This window comes from Homo sapiens, chromosome 2 (assembly GCF_000001405.40).
Source record: "Homo sapiens chromosome 2, GRCh38.p14 Primary Assembly".
NCBI lineage: Eukaryota > Metazoa > Chordata > Mammalia > Primates > Hominidae > Homo > Homo sapiens.
The window spans coordinates 209675181-209697640 of record NC_000002.12 but is presented as its reverse complement, the minus strand read 5'-3'; the positions used below and the strand labels follow the sequence as shown (position 1 = coordinate 209697640).

Here is a 22460-nt window from a genome sequence, read left to right as displayed (position 1 = left end):
ATAAAATCTGATATAATTACCAGAAAATTTTGTTTTCTATCTTCTTTTTTTCAGCAAAAGCAAAGTAATAGTAATTTTGCAAACCACAATTTCACTTCCTGGCTTGCTTTTCATTTTCAGTATCTAAATCACTACACATTCTTGGTGGTTTTCAATAAATTCATCAACATCAGTAACAGATTTGGCAGTAACAATGTAGAAAATAGGACAAATATTTATGGGTTTAAGCATGAGAGAGATAAATAAGCAAAATAATGAGAATGCATACCACAGTTAAATTCATCGCCATCGTCTAACCAAACACACAGAATGAAAATAGGAATCCCCAGAACGTGACACTAGAGCACAATGCCAAGATACAATCACGCACTGTTATGTCTGAGCATGACAAAGAAACAGATGGTCATGACCTTTTCTGTAAGGAGGGGGGAAAAAAGAATAATGATACAAGACACTTAATAGCAAAATTGTTCATGACTGCTGAGATTCTTGGAAGAAAAACAAAATGAAGAAGCTGCTACAGTAATGAGATTTAAAAAAAAAATACATGTCTATGTTTGCCAGTCACATTGCAGAATTGAACAGTCACCTGTGGTTTTCCGCTTAACACAGGAGAGATGAGTTGGTCTAGTATATTTGATAGCAGGTTTTAAAATGAATTTCCTGGAGGGAGAGTGGGCCTGAACTTCTGTTTTTTTAGCAAGTTCAGCCTTCTTATAAACTGCTATGAATAAGAAAACACAAAAAGCATACCATCAGGAAAAAATAAACACGTGGAGCAAAACCGAACGAAATTTTATAAATAATTAGTTACCACTGTTAGGCAGTTCTGCAAAAAAGTAATAATGAATTACTTCAAAAACATTTTTAAAGAAGTGATTGTTAAATGAACCTTTTTTCCTTCTCACTTCATCTCTGGAGACTGTGCTAGGTTCCTTTTTAGCTACTTTTCTTTCAGGAGTGGAAATTCTGCCTCTCCCGGTTTTAAAAGGCTTTTCTTTTCTATGTTTCTCAAGAGATGATCTCCGAGCTTCCTTTTCAGCTTTCTCCTCTTTAGGAATAGTTTCTAACTGTTCTGTCATGATGCTCCTATCATCATCTGTGGATCAAAGCAAATCATGACAACAACAACAACAGTGAAAACATTAGTAACAAGTGTACAAAATCCTTTGTATATTTAACAAAATACAAAATAAAGAGATAAAGAGGTATTTTAAAATGTTTAAGTGAAAAAAAATTCCCATAAGGTTATTGTGTTTGAGTTAAAATAATAATAATAATAATGCACACCTTGAGTGTCCACCCAGAGGCTGTCAGCGTCCATGATGGAGTCGTCAATGGTGGTCTCATCTTTGTAATCGTCATAGGTTTCTGTCTTATATTCAGAAAGTGCAACCTCTTCTCTCTCAGGGGAAGCTGGAGCCTCTGGGGAACCATCTTTGGGTTCTGCCTGGGCTTCAGCTGCCTCTTCTACTTCAAACTCTTCTTCATCATGAGGAGATGGTCTCCTTTCCACCTCAGGCTGCTCTAGGGCTGCAAAACGCACGCTGTGGGACCCTGACTCCCCTTCATCAGTTGTGGTTTGCACTACAGTGATGAAATCATCCTCGATGGTCACAACAGACTCAATCACTCCTTTGTGTTCACTTGGGCAGGTCTCCACAAATTCCTCCCTGGCACCTGAGACACCCAGGTCAGTTATCTGAAGGGTGTCTGAGCGGAAGAGCAGTTTATCATATTCTCCCTGGGCTTCTATCTCTTCTTCCTCACTCTGAATCTCTGCTGGTTCAGATACGATCGTTTCATGCAATGGCTCTGCAACATCAGAAGGCGTGATGGATATATCTGGGGTCTCTTTGCTTTCTTCTTTTGGCCCCTGAATAAATTCCATCTGGACATCAGCTCTCTCATCTGTGGCTAAATCAGCCTCTGAAACAGCAGGTGGGCAAGGTATTTCCACTGACAATTTGACGGCAATCTCATCTTGAATTAGAGATGATTCTGGAGATGTTTCCTTCTTGCCCTCATCAGCTTTCAAGGACTCCATGGTGAGACTTTCATGCTCACCACTAGATTCATAGGACTCCTCCTTGTCTACAGCCTCCTGGTGCACCAAGTCAGGCTTGGCCACCTTCTCTTTGACTTCTGTCTCACTAACTTTAGTGCCTTCTTTCATGTGGCCAGACTCAACACCCATAAATGCATCTGCCTCCTGCGGTGCTTTGGATGAGGGGGTCATGTCCTGTGTAGCCTCAAGTTTTAGCTCTGTTGCCCTTCTATCATCTATGTTTAGCCCTGAAGCCATCTGTCCAAAGTCACTAATTTTAACATCTAGTTGACCCTGGACAGCAAAATCCAGACCTTGTTCCACCTTTTTGGATGGTTCTACCTCAGCTATCTCTGGCACTGAACTAAGACCCTTCTCTGCTTTCTCAGAGGATGCATCTGTTGGTATTGACAAATCTTTGGCCAAAGCTTGCTCATAGGTTACTCCTAATCCGAATGTTTCTATTTCATCACCAGCCTCTTCAGTTTTCTTGGCATGTTCTTTTGAATCAGCATGTTCTTCACTCTTTTCTAGTACAGTATCCAACCTATCATTAGCTTTCTTCTCTTGGTCAAACTCCTTACTCAGTCCTGATTTGTCACCAGAGATATGCGCGGATGCTTCTTTGTCAACACTGAACTCATCTTTGACTCTTCCGGCTGCTGCCAGTTTCACTTCAATCAGTGAAAGGTCTGTGGCCAAATCTCTTCGAACTTTATCATCAGTGCCTTCGTAAAAGGTACCACTCTCCCCTGATAAATTCTCACTGTCTTGAACAGGTGATGGCAATGGGACTGTGTACTTATTGAACACACAGTAGCCCAGGTCTTCGAGCTGACTGTCCGTTTTTACAATGACATGGTTTTCATCAGTTACCGGGGGCAAGCCAGTACGACTATCCTCAACCACAGTCTCTGATGGGACTGATTTCCTCCTGGCAACCTCAGCATCTGCACTCACAGAAGCCAATCTTGACCTTGTGCCTGCCAGATCTAGCATTTCAGGAAGGTCAGGTGCCATGACAGTACCATTTTTGTAAAAATCTTTGGCTAGGAAAGGAGACTCACATGATATCTCCGCTTGAGTACTTTCTTCTCCAGTAGCTTTTACTTTCTCTATCTGTTCTTCCTCTTTGCTTTCTACAGGGAAGCAAGGGGCTTTCTCCAGTGCAGGTGTGGTGGCTGGAAGGTAATCATCCCCTTCATCCATACTTCCACTAGTGTTGGTTAGAATATCGGAAGCCAGAGGAGAAAGATCATGTCCCCGACCAAAGTTAAATCCAAGGGCTATGGAATCTAGGCAAGACATCGGCAAATTGATTGACATGCTTCTTTGTTCTATTGCAGACCTACCACCAAGTCCTAAACTCCTGCTAAGGGTCAAATCATCCTTATTCTTACTGTGGAGGTCCCTTTTCTCTCCATACACTTTTGGATCAATAGTGAACATTCTTTCTTGAGGAGAACTGGGTTCTTCAGGTAAATCTGATGGATAACTCTGTGCGAGAGTGCTGTACCCTGCTTCTTGTGCTGGAGGACTGGGCTGGGATTCTTTTCCTGTTTGAAACTCCTTGTCACCATTTTTATGCATGGGAGACATGGTATCAATAGACTCATGGACACTTTCTCTAGTGTCACTCAGTTCATAGTAATCACTGCCTGGCTCAATGCTTTTTGTTGCTTCTTCTTTCAAGGCAGATGTTTCAAAGTACTTGGACATTCCTGATTTATCTTCATAAAATGGCATATCAAGCTCAGCTGATGTTGCAGCTCCAACTCCTTCAATCTTATCTTTGTCATCAACTCTCATTTCAAAAAGTTCCTGAATTGAGCTCTTTTCAATTAATGCAGATGGTTCGGTCATGGCTTTCTCCAGTGTTTTAGAGGTCATGGCTGAATCTGTAACTGCTTGCTCCAAACTTACAGGGAACGAGTCCTGTTTCAACATATCTGTGGTAGGCTCTTGGTCTTTCTGTTCTGAGAAAGTGTGCTCTGTGGAGGTCTGAATTATGCCTATTTCTTCATCTGCAGGTTTTGGGGGTTTACTCTCTTTTGGCACAGCTTCTTTGTCAGAAATGGTGGTTTTTTCTTCAAGCTTCAGCTCAGTTTCCTTTTCAGTAAGTATAGGTTCCTGTCCACTGGGGGTGAAAGTATCCCTTTGCTGCACAGTCTCTTGATTTATGGCCTCCTTTTCTTCCTCTAAAACTTTCCCCATAACATGTTCTTCTACAACTGGAATGTGAGCATCTTTGGGTAAGGTCATTGCCTCTGAGGGTGGTGCTTCTGCCATTTTGTCAGGTTTAGCCTCATGGGGCTCTTCAATTTTAAAACTATCTTTGGCAGTAGCTGGGCCACTGGTTTGTTGCAGAGATTTTTTGTCATCTGGCTGTAAAAAGGCAGGGGCAAAGGGCGATGTTTCTGTAACTATTTCATTCTTCATGACATCTAAAGGAAGAGTGAAGCTTCCCCCTTGAAAGGGACTTGGCATGGGAGAATCAAACTGTTTCCCTTCCCATTTTGGGATATCATCAAATACATCTTTTTCCCTCATGGGAGTCAGAGGGCCAGGAGATATGGGGGCAACTAAACCCCACTCATCCTTTTTTGCTTCCGTTGGCATTTCGATGAACCAGTCCTTTTGTTCTTTTGGAGTTGGAGGCTCTTTAGGGAGGTCAATGCCAGGTACTACAAGGCTTGGTTCTGTCTTCTGTTTCATGTCTTCCAGGCTGGCAACAAGAGTGTGCCCAAACAAAGCTAGGGGTGCTTTTTCTTCTTCCGTGCCTTGCATGTCCTTTTTATCAGGGTAAGTTTTAGTTGTCTCTGGCTGAGAAACTAAGGCAGCATGTTTAAGGTCTTCACCAGGCTTACTTTGCTTCTCTGACTCCTTTTCCTTCTGGTCTGAAGGCTCAGCTGTAGAGGGAGTCAATTCCTGTTGATCGTGGAACTCCATCTTCGAGGCTGTAAGTAAATCTGAAGTAATCGGGTTGATTTTTAAACAAATAATAGGCAAGTGCGTTCAGGAAATAAGCTTAAAATTATATTTTGAAGTGATAAATGAATGGTAGAATAAAAACAAAAATTATGGAACATGCAAGCATGCTACCCATGTAAAAGTCAATATGAAAAGGTCAGGACTGAGATATATGTGTACTATTACTAAAATGAACTCTGGTTGTAAATTAATGTGCAAAGGAATTGTAAGAACAGTATATTTCTGGATATTCTTTTCTCTTTTTTTCTTTGTTTTTTTTTTTTTTGGTCTCTCCTAAACATTATGTGATGTGTATTACAGAAGAAACAAATTCATGTGCCTTCTATACATAAAAGTTATAAGCTAATGAATATTGAGTAAGCAGCTAATGTTAGGGTACAAAAGAATATATAGTAAGGACTAAATATAGATAAAGAATTGATTTATACTGAACATTTTCATTGGTTTTATCATTTAAAAATGAATTGGTAGGCTATGGGCAGAGGGCCAAGTAATGCACAATGATATAATGTTAATAGTTGCAGTTAACTTGATTAACAAATGTCAGGGCCAATTCTTTAGGCATCCACAGGTTACTGGCATAAATTTTTAGAATTCATCTGAGGATAAATTTCAGAAATATAAGTAAATATTTGCTATCAATTTTATATGATATGACTTAAGAATTTACAAGCCAGTTTCTATTACATATTTAAAAATTTAAATTCCTAATCATTACTTAGTCTGTACGGTAGATATAAGAAAATCTGAATTACACTGTTGATACTGGGAAGTCATGTGAGTAACAAACTTTTCAAAAGAGTCAACTATTGAAATAACTTTATTCCCATGGTCATGACCTCAATCCTTGGAGCATGACTAACTGGTGAAGCATTGGCCAGTATTGGCTTTAGAGGTGCTTCACAGAAATTAGATAACACATTTTTACTTTTATTTATTCAACAATCCAAAAGGCTTTATTGTCCCACTTGTGTTTTAAGGTCAAAGTAGTTCACTGTGGTCATTAGAGCTAAATGTAGTTATCTGGAAAAGATTTGGGGAAAAATAATAAAATTCAATCATCTCTAAAAGAGCAAGTGTATGGATCATCATTACCTTATATACTTATGTGTCCTGTTGTAACAATAGAAAAAAAAATACTTGATGAACTTCTAATAAAGGTTAGATGAATGAAAACTCAAGAGATATGGGGATGATCAGAAGGGCTGGCTGCCATGGGGAGAAAATGATATGAGAAGCATCAGCAGGAGGTCAAGAAAATCAAACCAGTATTCATTGAAGCATAAAAAATATAGCACATTTCGGTTGCAAACAAAAACGATTCCACCATTTAAGCCTCTATGTGCCAAAATCCAACTGTACGATTTGAAATAAAAGCATATGAATTGCTGTCCCCAAAATAAAAACAAAAATATACATGTATTAGCAATGTGACTGGCAAACATTTGAGATGAGGGGGGGCGGGTAAAAAAATAAAATAAAAAAAGAAGCTCACATAGCATCATCAGCCTGGCTGCAAAGCGTATTGTATCATGGCAAAGGAAAACCAGGAATCAGCTGCAGCACTGGAAAACCAGCTGCCACACAGCACTTGCGCAAGCCACACTCTCTGCACATTAAGCCTACAACAGTGGACTTGTTATCATAAGACCCAGCGATGAAATAGCGAAATAGCGTTGGAAAGGCATCAGGTTGGTAAGCCACTGGAGAGATCATTTGCAACAAAACACATGCAAATCCTGAGAAAGACACACCTTCCCCAGCAGAGGAAGGGGTTTTTACTTCTGGAGACACCTCCTTGACCTCTTTTACACTTTTCTCATGTGGGGCCCCTGCTGGGGCACTCTCTTCGGGAACTATTTGGGCCTCCGCACTAGACTCCATTTGGCCCTTACTGAGGCCCTTGGGTTGGTCTGAGGACTTAGCAGCCCCACACTCTTTCTCAGGAAGAGCAGCAGGTTTCTCTTCCTCAGCCATCCGACTCTCTAGCGTTTCTTCTTCTTAGGGATGAAAAAGATGTTGACATCATGACCACAGAACAATACATGAAACGACAGAAATATTGCTAAAGGAACACTTTCAGCTCCATTAGAATGACCTCATGAAGACCTCAGCTGTTTTTTTATTTTACCATTGGGATGAACAAATTAATATTCTAATGCAACATACATTAGGTACTGGTTGGAAAACTATGATGTATAATCTGCTAATAGTGATGACTTTTAAAGTCTCATTAAAAGGCAATTTATTTTAAAGTTTGAGAGCTGAAAGGGTTGTATTGATTGATTACCCTTATTGGAAACGGCAGTAAGTTGCACGCATGTGGAAAGCTTGCTGGAAATAAGAGATGGTACTGCCGGATAACAGATGGTTGTGAAAAGATGGATGTACTGATGTACTGAAAAAAAAAAGCCTTTAAATTTGTTAGACATGTGCTGTTTTCGCCAATGCAGGAAGCCCCTACATAAGAATTCCCGGCTGCTTTATTTAAAATGTGCAAATTTTGCTAAAGAAATCTTTGGGAATAAAAAAAGCCTTGCTTCAAAAGAATATCCAACCAACTACCTTAACAGCTTTATCACAAAGTCCACCAAATTTACTTAAAATATAATTTATTTAGCATTTCCAAGGTAAGGGACTACCTAAGTCAAGTTATGTTAGCTTCATTGCATTGTATGATGTTGGAGAAAATGAACATTTTCAAAAAGTAAGTAAAATAAAATGTGTTAAAAACAAGGTCAAGGTTAAATTTAAATCTGTTTACAAAAGTCTACCTCTGGGACACAACTATTATCATATTGTTAAACTCCCTGAAATATCAGTAATGTAGTTCATGTATAATTCTCTTTGACACTAAAGAAAAAATATGCACATTAGTAATAAAGTCTTATTTCTGTAATTCAAAACAAAATCACCAAGGAAAGATAATTGAGTGGCAATCAAACGGCCAAAATAACCACCCCCCAAACCATGTATATCACATAAAAAAGTTAACATTTAAGATGTAAAGATAAACTTTTCAAGTTCATGAGTTATTGCACTAATTTGTTTCTCATTTACACTTGAAATGTCAGTAAAAATAAGTAAATTCCATTTGGTCACTTAAGGAATTAGAGAGAAATATATGAGCTGTTTTATAGTTTTGTAAATGGAAGATTCTTACAAAATTCTTATGAAATAATTGTGCATTGTTTAAACGGCCCTGAGGGAAAGACTACAGATAAAAAGAAAAGGAATTTTCTTTTATTTTGTTTTTTAGAAATATTAATATCCTCAGAGAGAAACAGAGAGAGAAAAAAAAATCTACATTATCAATCTCTTCACATTTAGCACTCATTTTTAGTTTTGTAATTTAATTATGGCATTTTAAGTAGCATTTTAAAAATTTAAATTCTAACTTGTTATTTTAAGAAAATTTTTATAATGCCATAGATTTTGATTACAGTTAAAAGAATTTTAATATAACTGCATTATAATGTTACCTTTTTGGATAAAGTCTAATCAAGTTAATTTACATGTTTTCAAATCCATGTAGCTTTTTAGCTTTTCATTTTCTCATTTAGTATAAATCATATTTATTTCCACTACAATTGTTCCTAATTTAAAAACTCACATATTTTAGAAATTTAGTTTAGAAGAACTTAGTTTCACTTAATAGGGGTTATATTTCTTTATCAGAGAACCTGAGCTATTGGTGTTCTGTTTTCAAAAGGGTCCTTGAAGACGTTTATTATGATGACCATAGTTGGTGAGCTGTAAGCTTATTCCTTATTGCTTTAGAACTATCTGCTTTCATATTAAATATTGTCCCTTTTGGAAATAAACTCTTCGCCTAAGCAAAAATATATTTAGCTGTACCTTTTTTTTCTTTACCAAAACTACCTAGTTAGAATGAGACACATTGCAGCCCATCACCTACTTATTTTATCCTCACGATAACCAATTATACACTTGAGTCTCCCAGCTTTATAAGGCTAGAATGACAAAGGCTTTGAATCATTTCCTTCATTTTAGTCCAGCTCTACTGATGTGAGCCAAGATTTAGTCACCTGGGGAAGCCTCTGTAGTTTCTGTAGATGATTACATGATATGGGGAAATAAATTGTTTCCATAACATTTATTCTGCTCTAAACAGATTCTTCATTCTTTCTCTTTTAAAGATCTATCATATTAATATAGCACTAAAAAGAAAGCTAATGCTATTTAAAGATGCTATTTAAAGATGCTATTTAATAGTAATATTATGTGTCTAAGGAGGAAAAAAATTATATTCAGAGTCATCTTCTTTGGTTTGGGTAAAGAATATGTTCTTCCCCAGCTGATTATTGGCAGGGAGCAGAAAGAAGCCATACTTTAATGGAATATTTTTTTGCTTCTCTCTCTCTTTCTCTCTCTCTTTTTCTTCCTTCTCAGAAGCAATGATACAGAAAAAGGAAGTGCTCACATGCCTCTAGTAAGGCTTCTTTTATATAAATTGTTAAGGCATTTGGATAGATTCAACTTATATAGGAACTTCACTTTCATGCAGAGAAAACAGGCTCCTGCCCCTCCCACCCTGTATTAAGGCACACTTAACATGATGTAGGTGGTCAAAGCTGTAGGCCGGGGCGGAGGAGCAAAAGGGGACCATGCTTGGTTCACCTTTCTCCTGGCCTAAGTGGGCCTCTGCACTCTGCGCTGTGACACTGGGGAGCACACTAGAGGTGGTCCGTTCTGAGCTGAACAAAGGATGCTCATAGTACTCCTCATCGGAATTGTAAGGGTCATCATCAGGCACAGACACTGAGATGGAGGGGGCTAGGAGTCCACGCCTCTCCCCGCTGGTGGCAGGTTCATGGCTGGGGAACCTGTGTAGAGGACCCACTTGATCCTCAGCCCCTTCATCTACAAACAGACACACAGGAAGAAACTGCAGGGAGAACTGGACAACACAGACACAAGATCAGACGGACGAAACAAACACCTACACAAGGGCAGGAAGGGCCACAGAAGCAGCACAGCAGGATGAAGGGAAATTAGCAAGATCAAGCTGATGGAGGATGGGAGACAGTGAATGTTTCATGCCTCAGTAACTGCTGAATTCCACCTATCCCTTAAGCAAGTTTGCCATTGATCTAAGTGAACCAAAAGCATTGACAGCCCTGCGGCAAAATAAAAATCATCTGTACATTCCTCTCAAACAAGTCAGAATAACCAAGGAACGTTGGAATAGAAACAAAGCATTACAAAACAAATGCATTCTTTGGAGGAAATTATTTCATGAAGGTTAACTCTACTCATGCTTAGATCAATATGTTTATAAGTTTAAAAAGAAGAAAGTTATTAGGATTTAACGCCTGTAAGATTATGAAGAAAACAGTCCTGTTTAAAACATAGTCTTAATTATCTAGGATGCACAAGTAGTGTTTTGGTTAATTTAATTCTAGTTAATAACTTTAACCAGAAAGTCATTTTTAATTTCAATCCTGTTAAGAAAAATCTACAATGCATTATGCCTCTTTCCTGCCTTAATAAGAAATGCGCAGTCAGCATAGCTCTTTCTTTGGATGCTAAGGCTAATGTAGTACCTAGAGGCATCATTTTAAACCAGGTTCTGATTTGCAGGACACTAAAAGTATACTGTTTTAAGAAAGCCTCTAATATTATAAACTTGTTTTCTTATGTTTTGTTTTCCTTCTGAAAGCTTAGCAGAGATACAATTAGCTAAAAATTTCTGCAGAGTCGGCTGCAGATTCATCAAGACTTTATTCCATGTAGTTTCATTTGTACCACTGGCTCTTGGCTGTTTTTCATGTTTCAAACCTCTTATTGCATATTTCTTATTGAAATGCTAAAGTAACTACTCTCATTTCTGTTCTTTCCTGTATCTTGCCTAGGAAATTTGCATTATTTAAACATATCTCCTTAAATATACAACTGTAGATCAGTCTGCTTAGCATTTGGATTCTCGTATAACTCAGTGAGCACTTGGCTTCTGATGTGGTGCAGACGTTACATCTCAGGCCTATGTGGTGGTTGCTAAATTTGCTAATCACTATTTATTTACTTATATTGAGATATCAATTTAAAATTTCATGACTCTCAATAATAAGAACAAAATCTATAGTATCTATCTGTACAGTTTTTATTTATATCAGATTTTAAGAAGACAAAATTATAGCATTAATTTGCAAATATACTGTATTTTTAGGACAGTAACTTATTTTTGGCAACCAAGTGCTGACAACTAGAAATAAGTCTGAAATCATGAGGATACTAAAATAACATTTTGTAGAGAGAATACATTTAATCTTTCAAGCACATTATTTACTGATTGTTCCATGGAAGATGTTTCTGGATGGATGCTCAGAACTTTCTCAGCCACAATGCTTTTTATATCATGGGATAGCAGAAGCCTAAAATAACGTTTGATATTCTTAGTTCAACTCGGCACGATTTCGCAGCTGAGCAGATAATTGTCCAAGATCTGGCCTACAACACTGACTGAATCATAGCCCTGGCTTGTCACATGTCCTAGCCATTCATATTTCTCTCAGTGGATCTCTGGGGCTGTAAATTCCCCATGTATGCAAGTTACTTCTAAAATTCCTGATATGTTCAGTAGGGTACTTTCATGATCAATAAATGAAAATGGGATATGCTCCTCTCTGCTTTTCAACATTTATTTTCTGGGAGGTACAGCAGACTATAGTATAAAATTAAAGAATTTCAAGCTGAGAGTAAAGGCAATACTCATTGGATGTTTTAACCTTTTGCAGATTCTGGCCACCTCTTTCTTGTTGTCATTGTTCTTTGTGAAAGTGCCAACATTTAAAAACAGTCCAGAGCCTTGCTTCAGATCTATAGCATTTAAAAAAATGGTAAATGGTATTTTCTATTCTGAAAACTTTCACTCTAATCAGGAAACAACAAAAAGAACAACACAAATTTTGAAAGATCTAGTGGAAAAAGTAGCTTCTTTTTAGTATTCATCTGGCCTGGGACCAAGGCAACTTCAAAAAGAGTGTCTGGCAAAGTCCAATCTTCTCTTGGTACTGTAAGCTGTCTGTACTCCAAGTCTCTGTTTAAGACCTATCAGCCTAAAGTCCATCTACGTTACAAGCTCTAGAGATATGCCAGGGAAGCTATGCTTTATGGGGACCAGGGAGGGCTAAGCCAAACAGGGCACTTGATTTTAATGATAATGACAGAAGACATTAGATTCTCATTTCTTATTGTGTTGTGTATGGCAGGTGCATCTGGATCACTCCCAATGCAGATGGAAGACATAATAATTTTAAATAAATAAATAATAAATGGAATATTTATTTGTAAGATTTTTTTTCTTAAAGGAAATTAGTATAGTAGCTTGTAACAAATAACTCTCATTTGAAGATAATTTACTTCCATAGTCTCACAGTAAGAACCTTGATAAGAAACAGCTTTAGGGATGTAGTGCAACCGTGATTGCAGAATTTAGATTTGGATTTGCATTCTGGATAAGCCACTTCTCCAGACATAAACCATAACATTTTGGGCAAAGGAGTGGAAATGAATATTATCTATCTCTGTGGGTTGCTGGGAGGATTAAATGAGAAGATATCTGTGAAAATGCCAAGCACAATGTCTGACTCCATACATCTTAGCATCTGTGTCTTCAGTGTACTCAGACAAGTTGTCAGGTACCTCTGTTCTTTCCCCTCATTTAGCACATCAAAGTTGGAGTTGAGAGATATATTAAAAATTAAATTTATTTCACAACAGTTAGTTTGCTGTTTGAGGTCAGGATTGAATGCATGCATCCTTTTACTAGAAGTGGGCATGCTTCTGGGGACTCTGCTTTTGCCACAGAATATTCTATTTCATTTAATCACGTGTTATGCTAAAAACAGGGTAACCTTATACACCTTGGACTTTTGCATAGTTTTCTGCATAATTATAATCTTCAAAAATAAAGCTTACCTGGTTTCAATGGAGGAATAAAGTTTCCCTAGTTTGCTTTCATTGAAACTTTTTCTTTTAAATAAAGCATTTGAAAATTTACACTGGGCTAATGTAAGGTTTGCCATGTAAAACCCAGCCTTAGTATACCAGCCTCCTTTGGAGACTGCATCTTGTGGAATGTTAGTGATTCGGTACTTTTTGCTTGTTGTGGCATCACAGCATATGGTCGATGGCTGCTGGCCGCACTTACATTGTTCTCCACCATTTCCAAGCCCTTTCCATTCTGCCAGCTTTTGACTGAGGACTTCTCAGTCTGCTGACTGTTACTGCTGCCCCAGAATGACATAAAGAGAAAACTACTTTCAGATGCGCGATGATTAGGTCACCACATCCATGACACAGGAAAACACCACCCTAGAATTCTGGAGCAAACCTAAAAGGGCAGAAAGAATCCTGGTTCTGTGTTCAGATTATTCCATTCCTTCACAGCCTTCCAAATTCTAATAGCTCAGTCCAAATGACAACTATTATGATTAGGCCAAAAAGAAAAAGGAGGTTAATTTGAAAACATCATAATCAGTACAGGTTTGGTTTACTGTACCGTAGATCCTTTTCTAAGTGTGCAGCTTGTTTCCTTTTTTTTCATCAAAATCCCTTGTAAATGTTTTCTAGAATAAGCACATATCCTGGGAATTACTAATATTACATTAATTATAATAAATATTCATAAATTATAGTAATTAACATCTTAAATTTTTAGTGGAAGCTTTCATGCTTCCCCTTTGGGAAAGAACAGCTTTAAAAAGTTTGATAATTAACAAAAAGAAAATGTATCCTCAAAATCGCTGAATTAATCTAACAAAAGAGCTTTCTTCCATTTGTATAAAAGGATCAGACTGCAGCAGTCACTATACCCTCAGATTAAAGTTGCTTTGAGGGTATCAAGGAGGGTAAATAATCCCCTAGATAAGGCAAAAAAATCCACCTGCTCCCTTTCCACCTGACCTGCTATAAGCAATATATTGATGGAATTTGGGCTGAGTATTTACAAACTACTTGGTTTGAAAAATTGAACAGTTCAATCCTGTCTTGTGACTTGTCACTAATTTATTTTCTGACAAAACTAAACTTAAAAAATACTTGTATATTACTTAAGTGTGGCTTAACATAAAAGAGAAACAGTAGTTTGTCTAGACCACAAATCTTTTACATATTTAAGGTGAGAATATTATCTGGTCTTTATAGAGATAGAGTTTATAAAATATATACATCTGTTTTTCTTAAAACTCAAAAAATGGTTATACTTTTAAAATCAAATAATCAGAACTTCAGATAGTTCAATACTCAAAAAGTTAAAAACACAAGTTTGGCTTGAAAATAACTTTGAATTACTTTCAATAAGAGGTTAGGTGGTATTTTCCTTGAATATCTTGAAACAGCTTGAAGAAAGTAATTCCAAAATATTAGGGAACTCTGGAAAGTTGACACCTAAGTTACCAAAATGTGAAGGTGATTCTACATTTTATTTATTTATGTTTTCATTATATCCATCATATTACCCTACAGGAAGCAGGCTGGGTGAATTCCCAGATGGATGGGAGGACTCTGCTTCTTCCCTTTCTGTTCCAAATCCCATATAGAGTAAGAAGATTAAATGACTTGACCTCAAGCCGACTTTTGGAGTAAACCTGCTCTGTCAACATCATATCCCTCTCTGGGTTAAGAGGATTCTCTGATGCTTGAAAAGCTTTAAGTAGGAGCTTAGAAACATTTTCCATGGCCTGAAGGAGGTACAAGGGTCATGTCAGGCTTCCCGCTGCATTCAGAATGAAATCTAGGCCACTGACCCCAGCTGACCACTGCTTACTCTCACACTCCACTGCTCTACCCTTTCTCACTACCCATCAGCCACGGACCCCCTTCAGTTCCTGGGTCACTTCATCTTCTTGGGCACCTGAGCGCCCTTGTGCTTTTTTCTATCTTTATTTGGCCAACACTTCCTCCTCATGCTTCTGGTCTCAGCTACTTAGCCATCCCCTCACCACCCAATAAAATCAGGTTTCTCTTGTAATATTTTAAAGCTCCCTATTCTTTTCCTCTTCAATGCTAATCCAATTTGAAATTATTGGTAAGCTTATTTATTGGATTTCTGTTCTCCACTAGATAGTGTACTATTTATTTATTTATTTTGAGATGGAGTCTCGCTATGTCACCAGGCTACAGTGTAATGGTGCCATCTTGGCTCGCTGCAACCTCCGCCTTCTGGGTTCAAGTGATTCTCCTGCCTCAGCCTCCCGAGTAGCTGGGATTATAGGCGTACGCCACCATGCCTGGCTAATTTTTGTATTTTTAGTAGAGACGGGTTTTCACCATGTTGGCCAGGCTGATCTTGAACTCCTGACCTCAAGTGATCTGCCCGCCTCGGCCTCCCAAAGTGCTGGGATTACCGGCTATAGTGTACTCTTTAAAAGCAGGGATCATGTCTGTTTTGTTCACTAGTATATACTCAGAATTTGAAGAGTACCTGGAAGACTGTAGGGCTCAATAAATATGTGCCCAGTGAATGGATAAACATAAGGTCAAAAGGAACTTTTCAAACCTATAAATTAAAAGATTAAATCACATTAACTAATAATCAGTGGCTGCTATGCACTGATTATTATCCCCAAAGTTTCTTTTATTCCTCAGAAAAATTTAGTTTGTTTATTATTTCAGGCAGTAAATTGGAAAAAAAAAGCTTCAATTTAAGAAAGAAAAACCTTGCTAAAATAAATTTAGGTTTATAAATCTGTGACAAAATAAAATTATATTAGAGGTGATAATATATGGTTCACTAATTCAAATTTTTGTATTTACGAAATCAAAGAATATTTTAAATGAACCTAATTACAAATGATAAAAAGACAAGTCTTTTAAAATAAATGTTCTTCAGTCTTTAACACAGTAAAAAGGAAAAATAAATGAATAAATGAATAAAATAAACACTTTTAAAATTCTGGTTTTAATATATGAAAACTAAGTAATGTTGAAACAACAATGGAGCCCTAGTTCTTCTCTGCCTTTTCCTGTGACTCTCAAACAATAAACAAAGGTTAACTGGACTAAGTCGGAGAACCAGTAATGGTTTCCTTTTAAGTAGTGCCTTTCATCTCAGATTCTGAATGAAAATTCTTCAAAGGCATCTTTCTGTTGTATCAATGAGAATTGAAAAGCTAACATGACATTCCATGTTGAGTAAGTTCATAAAAAGATCCATGGACAATAACAGGTCTCAACAGGAAAGAGTCATGAGCTCAGCTTCCAGTTCAATGCTCTCAATATCAGATTCATTCATTAACTTCTTCATTTATTCATTAATATTTATTAAATTTGCTATGAGTCAGGCCCTGGGGAAGGTCTTGGCAATATAACAGTGAGCAAAACAGAGATAATTCCTGACACTTTCATAAGGAAGTGTTGATTTCATTGATAAATCTGACCCCTACTATTATGGAGATTACATTTATATTTATTTTAATTTTTGTTCAGTCACTTACAAGGTAGAATTGTATCTTCCCTGTTAAAGCATTCTAAAGTGAATGGGGTCTCTACAGTTATTTTAGCAACTGAACACAAAATTCTTTTCCTTAATCAAGCAGATTTCTTTTTTATTTACCAAATTCCTCTACTTTTGCTTTTATAAAAATAAGTGATTATTTATTTAAAGTCTTTGTTTCTTCTTCATTATTTGAAACAGATAGCTCCAAAGCTTGGTCACATACTAACCAATACCAAAGTCCAGAGCTTATTGATTGAAGTTTATTGTTCACACTTTAACAGAAGACAAACCCTGAAAAGTCCAATAGGCCTTACCTTCCTCCACTGTGACAGTCTGTTCTGAGGCAGGTGATGGGGGTGGAGAAGGAGGCAGATTAGCTGTTTCTTCAGCTGCTAAAGATCAAACAATAGAAAAATGAGATGCAATAATTAATCCTTTTAGGCTGGTAGATGTGTAGGAAGTTCTGCCATTTGTAAAAAGACCTCTCTATAAAATTCAGAAAAAGATTCAATAGTAAGCCGCATTTGGTTTATTTATAGGCCCATTACCTGATTCATGCATTTTTGAAAACCTAAAAAATAAGACAAGCATTTGATATTTTCAAAAAAAAATGATTTTATCATCTCTAGAAAAACAGATTAGAGATGCCTGCTAAAATTCCATCATTAATCTCATTAATGTGTCTACCTGTTCAATTAATAAAATATTTCATTTTGGCCCTAATTTACCATATGAAAACACACACAGGCAGGCAGGTGTTTTTAGTCTGGATTCAGCTACTGACTGAAAAAACTATTAGAACTCTCTATTGTTCAACTGCTCAATCTGGAAACATGTGTTATCTTGATCACTAATAGTTATTTTAGGGAATATATTTTTTAAACAACCTTTTGTTCACTGAGTCTAATTTCAAAACCCATCTTCTGTATGTATTCTCAGAAATGGAAAAATAAGCTTTCATAGCCTGAGTGAACTTTCAGACAAAAACCATATGCTGAGTAAACTTCTGGTCTTAGCAATCAATACACATGAAAAGGAACCAGAGAAAAAGGTTCTAAAAGATGTAATTCATTTACAGTTAATGTTAAGTTTTATTTTTCAAGACACTTACATGATTTGTGATCCCCCTCATATGACAGTAAGAAATTTCAAAAGGAAATATTTCTCATTTAAGGCCAGTGGTTAAATCTATTTTAAATATTAGGGGAATTTCAGCTTCATAAAGTAGTTATTAGAGGCAGATTTGGGATGACAGGTGACTTTTTTAGTTCCTTACCCTATGGGCTTCTGCATGGCGTATTTTAAGATTTCAAGTTTTAAAAAATTGAGTTTTCTTTTCTTTCAAGGAATAAAAGTGAACAATAAACTGAAGGTTAATGTTTTAGATTAGATAATTCTCTATGTGTTTTAAGAGAAAAATAGTCCTTAATAATTAAAAAAACCCACAGTACTGAAAATACTGAGTGTATTCTAAATTATTATTCTGGGAGGGCAGATTATTTTTATTACTTACTTTTTAATAGACAGTTAAAGGAATACTGATCAAAAAATCAAATATCATGGATATATTAGACTGTAAGAGAGGGAAATGGATATGTACTTTTTTAGGCCTTTAAAAACACACCTTTCTATGACTCACGTGTATATACCTGTGAAATAAATATATATATTGAATTTAAGAGAGTCTCCTTTCCTGTATCTCTTTGTGTATATACATCCATCTCTCTATCTATCTATCTGCCTATATACATCCATCTCTCTATCTATCTATCTGCCTATCTATCTATCTATCTATCTATCTATCTATCTATCTATCTATGAGTAGGGGCAGCAAGGCTTTGGCTGAGAGTGTTTCCTTTGGCAAGCATGCGTTAAATGACTTGCTTGGCATGGAGGGCATTTGTCTTGTTACTAAGGGAGAGAGCAGCACTCTCTCAGCGCCCTTAGATGAACCAAGTGAAGTTCAGTACTTCATATAAGATACAAAGTCACTCACGATTATAACAAAGCTCTGGCTATAGGTTTTGTGTAGTCATTTCAGGAAGACCCAAACAAGGCTACAGTATAATCATTCACCAAAACCTGTAAAGGGAAATAATCATCTCTTATGAAAGTTTTAGTATATTATCCTTATGGGTGGAGGTCATGAAATAAGGCATTGGCTTTATTTTAATAATAACTATTTCTAGTGGTCTGGAAAATGAAAAAATTAAGGGCCACTTAGGGAAAAGTCTAACTGTAAGCTCACCACCCTAACGAAAGACTATGCAAACACTACAACAAACCAGTGGAAAAAGATGAAAATAGGTCCTAGTGCATACCCAGTCAAGGTGTCTGATGAATGTTACATGTAAGGATGAAGTACAAGATATGGCCTATCTTTTGAACATGAAGACTTTATCCTGTGATCAGGGTGCAACAGACACAGTCCCTGACCTGAGAATCTTCTTATTTACCTAAAGGCAGAGCTGCAGTCTGGTCTTTATGTTGAGCTTCTTTCTCTTGTTCACCTTTCAGGACTGCTACAGCCTCAGCAGTGACTACTTGAACTATCCTTGCAGACACCTCCTCTGTAATAAACAGTAACAAAATAAAATATAACGATGAGAAGTCTGAGAAAGCAAAGAGGAAAAGTAACCAAACAGTATAGTGGATTATAATTTCATTTTCTTCCCCCTAAAAAGTACAACATAATTTTTTAATTGCAGAGAAAACATAAACACATATATACAAAAAAGAAGAAGAAAAGAAGTTGGTATTCTAGGAGCTAAGCTAAGCAAGCAAAATGAGCACAGAACTGAGAAAAAATACTTACATAGTATTTGAACATTTTTTTGGCTTCAACAACAGAAATTTATTTTCAACTCTGAAGTCTATGACATCTCTGTTATAGAATGAGTGTTTGTATCCCCTGCCCCCAAAGTCATATGTTGAACTCCTAACCTCCAATGTGAAGGTAATTGGTACTTTATTTTGTAAAAGCTGTTTACAAAAATAGAAACAATTTAATTTCTTTATACCTAGTAAAACAAATTCAAGGATAGAAGAGAGGGTTCATTTTGAATTTAACTTAAATTTGTTTTATAGTTTCCTTATACTATTCTAAAAATATAATTTATATAAGCTTGTGTGCTTGATTTGCAGAAATACCATTATTTAAAATCTGAAAATCTATTTATGGTTAAATAGCATTATCCAGGATCAGTGAAAATAAGATAAATTATAAGGAATCTGGAAAGATGAAGTTTTAATGAAATACATGGCAATGATATGTCAGATGGTCTCTTTCTAAAGAACTAGTATTTTTCTAGAGAGTTGATATTTTAAAGATCTTTAAAGCCATATGACATCAAATCATCTTAGTTTCATTTTTTTTAAAAGGAGGGCTCAAAATTAAAATGATTGGTCTGTGAGATACCAAATAACTAGTTTTTAGCATTCCTGACTATTATAATATTCTTTCTCCTAAGCAGAACAATGGAAGAAATAACAAACACATAATCACAAAACTTTCTAACAGTCGTGAGTGAATGACTAACAGAAATATATCAACTCTTTTAGTGGTATGAATGAAGGAAACATACTCACTATCAGACCTGCTCAGCTATATGTCTATCTAAAATACATCATTGTAATTCCATTCCTGATTATAGCTGGAAGCTATGCAACAAGTGATGAGCCACAATTGAGCAACATCTATCTGTCTGTCTGTCTGTCTGTCTGTCTGTCTGTCTGTCTATCTATCTATCTATCTAATCTATCATCTATCTACCTACCTATCTGCCTGCCTACCTACCTATATATCTCATAGACCATGTTAGATATTGTGATAGTTTACCTTTAGAAGATGACTATTTTATTTCTAAGAGATAATACTATCTTATTAGCATATTTGTTTTAGTGTTGGAATAGAATTTTTCACAGTTACAGCAGTTAAATAAATAACATTAACAGTCACCAAAGCATTATGAGGAGGATTATCTGCTATGCTACTCAGTGAAGAGGGCAGTAGAGAAGGAAAGGCTGTTTGTTTTCATAAAGCCAGGCTGCTGGGTGGGGTTTCTCTGAACATTCTCTGAAAGGCTGGGCTCCTAAAGTGATGTTTTTTTAAATGGGAAAGAGTATACAAAAAGGGCTACAGAAAATTAAATTAGCTGTAAAGATCATGCTTAGACGTCTAAATTGTTTAATAATGTTACAAAAAGAATTATTTTAGGTTTTGAGAATTGCCGCTTACATATATTAATTTTTAATGCAATTAAAATATTTAAAAATCAGTAGAGTGAGGTAGCTTCTTCTAGCACCCCAGTGATTTATGGAAAAATTGAGTGTAATAAAGAGGTGGAACAATCATGGCAGAAATTGGGAGATATATATATATATATATATATATATATATATATATATATATATATATATATGACCTTTGTGTCTTCTGGATCATTCCTGCATCTTTCTATTAGCACGTATGCAAACTGTAGTGTCTTCCTATGGCATTTAGTACATCTCACATGGAATTGTGCTGGTTCACATGGCTTATCTCCCACACTATATAAGGTTTCCCAAGTCAGGGACTCTCTTCTGTCATTGTCACAATTCTAACTTTTAAGTTCAGGGGTACATGTGCAGCTTTGTTACAGAGATAAACTTGTGTCATGGGGGCTTGTTGTACAGATTATTTTATCACCCAGGTATTAAGCCTAGTGCCCATTAGTTATTTTTCCTGATCCTCTCCCTCTTCCAATCCTCCACCTTCCAATAGGCCCCAGTGTGTGTTGTTCCCCTTGATGTTGATGTGTCCATGTGTTCTCATCATTTAGCTCCCACTTATAATTGAGAACATGCAATATTTGGTTTTCTGTTCCTGTGTTAGTTGCTAAGAATAATGGTTCCATCCATGCCCTGGCAAAATACATGATCTTGTTCTTTATTATGGCTGCATAGTATTCCACAGTGTATATGTACCACATTTTCTTTATCCAATCTATCATTGATGGGCATTTAGGTTGATTCTATGTCTTTGCTATTGTGAATAGTGTTGCAATGCACAACTCTTGAAGCTTCTCTTATTGAGCTTTACTCAGATTGGATGCTTAACAGAATTTTTTTTGACAGAATAGAAAATTAATATGAAAGGTTTTGTTCATAATATTTACAAACATTCAGAAATAATTCATGCTTGTTACTACATTTAGTAACCTTAAAACCTAAAATTATCTTATTTACTCTATTATTAAGTATTTGATATATATATCAAAACAGTATTTCTTAAATGGGGGTCCTGCATTCTTGTTTAATTACTGATAAATATTTTTAGGGTCTGAGAGTGTTTTATATGTATTCTTTTTTTAGATTGGGAAGATAATCCAAAATAAATAAGTATCCATTGGTTATATGAGCAAATTATAACTGAGCAACTCTACATTATTTCAGTATTTTTCTTTGGGATTGTATCTTAGGATACAGTTTTGATATCCATGGAGAATTATTTAAGTGTTGAGAGCTAATAAAAAAGGAGAGGTGGATTTAATACATAAAGGATGTATTCATACAAGTGTAGCCCAAATAACATTGTGGTACACTGTATAAATAGACTTTGAAAATCATTGAAACAGAGAAAAAAGGAGAATAGAAGTATTACCTGTCTCCAGTTCAGTATAGAAATGTCCAACTTAAACAAAGGCACTGTATCAGCCAGTACTAATCGTGAGTGATAATTTAGTTTCAGCAAAGCAGTATCATTTATTGTAGATGGGAAGCAGCAGAGAGTTTGAATTTTACTGGTTTTGTTGTTTCAGAGAAAATGAATTTATAAGTGTGTTTATGTCCCATAATGGAATTAGAACTCATGAACAAGTTAATTTTATTTTTGTATATGTTTAACCAAAAGTTGTTAAAAAAAATAATCCAAGGGAGAATTGGTAAATTTTTTCTTCTTTGAAGTAATTTAAGAGGATTTGA

The 22460-nt window shown here is 36.1% G+C and overlaps 1 protein-coding gene across 90 annotated transcripts in view; it reads right to left on the bottom strand.

Moving 5' to 3' along the window:
- MAP2 (microtubule associated protein 2) overlaps positions 1-22460 on the bottom strand; it is a 310066-nt gene that overhangs the window by 36472 nt on the left and 251134 nt on the right. For 22 of the 90 annotated variants that reach the window (NR_164698.1, NR_164697.1, NR_164695.1 and 19 more), the window contains 2 exons: positions 18956-19069; positions 16814-16891 (listed from right to left, as the gene is read on the bottom strand). Coding sequence is in view for 84 of the 90 variants with exons in the window: in NM_001375493.1 (NP_001362422.1) it covers positions 16814-16891; positions 18956-19069 (192 nt within the window). In the remaining 6 variants the exon portion in view is untranslated. Of the gene's footprint in view, positions 1-589; positions 725-892; positions 1100-1290; positions 5017-6792; positions 7039-16813; positions 16892-18955; positions 19070-22460 lie in introns of all 90 variants that reach the window. The other 68 variants (NM_001375504.1, NM_001437616.1, NM_001375505.1 and 65 more) reach the window with 18 other exon arrangements.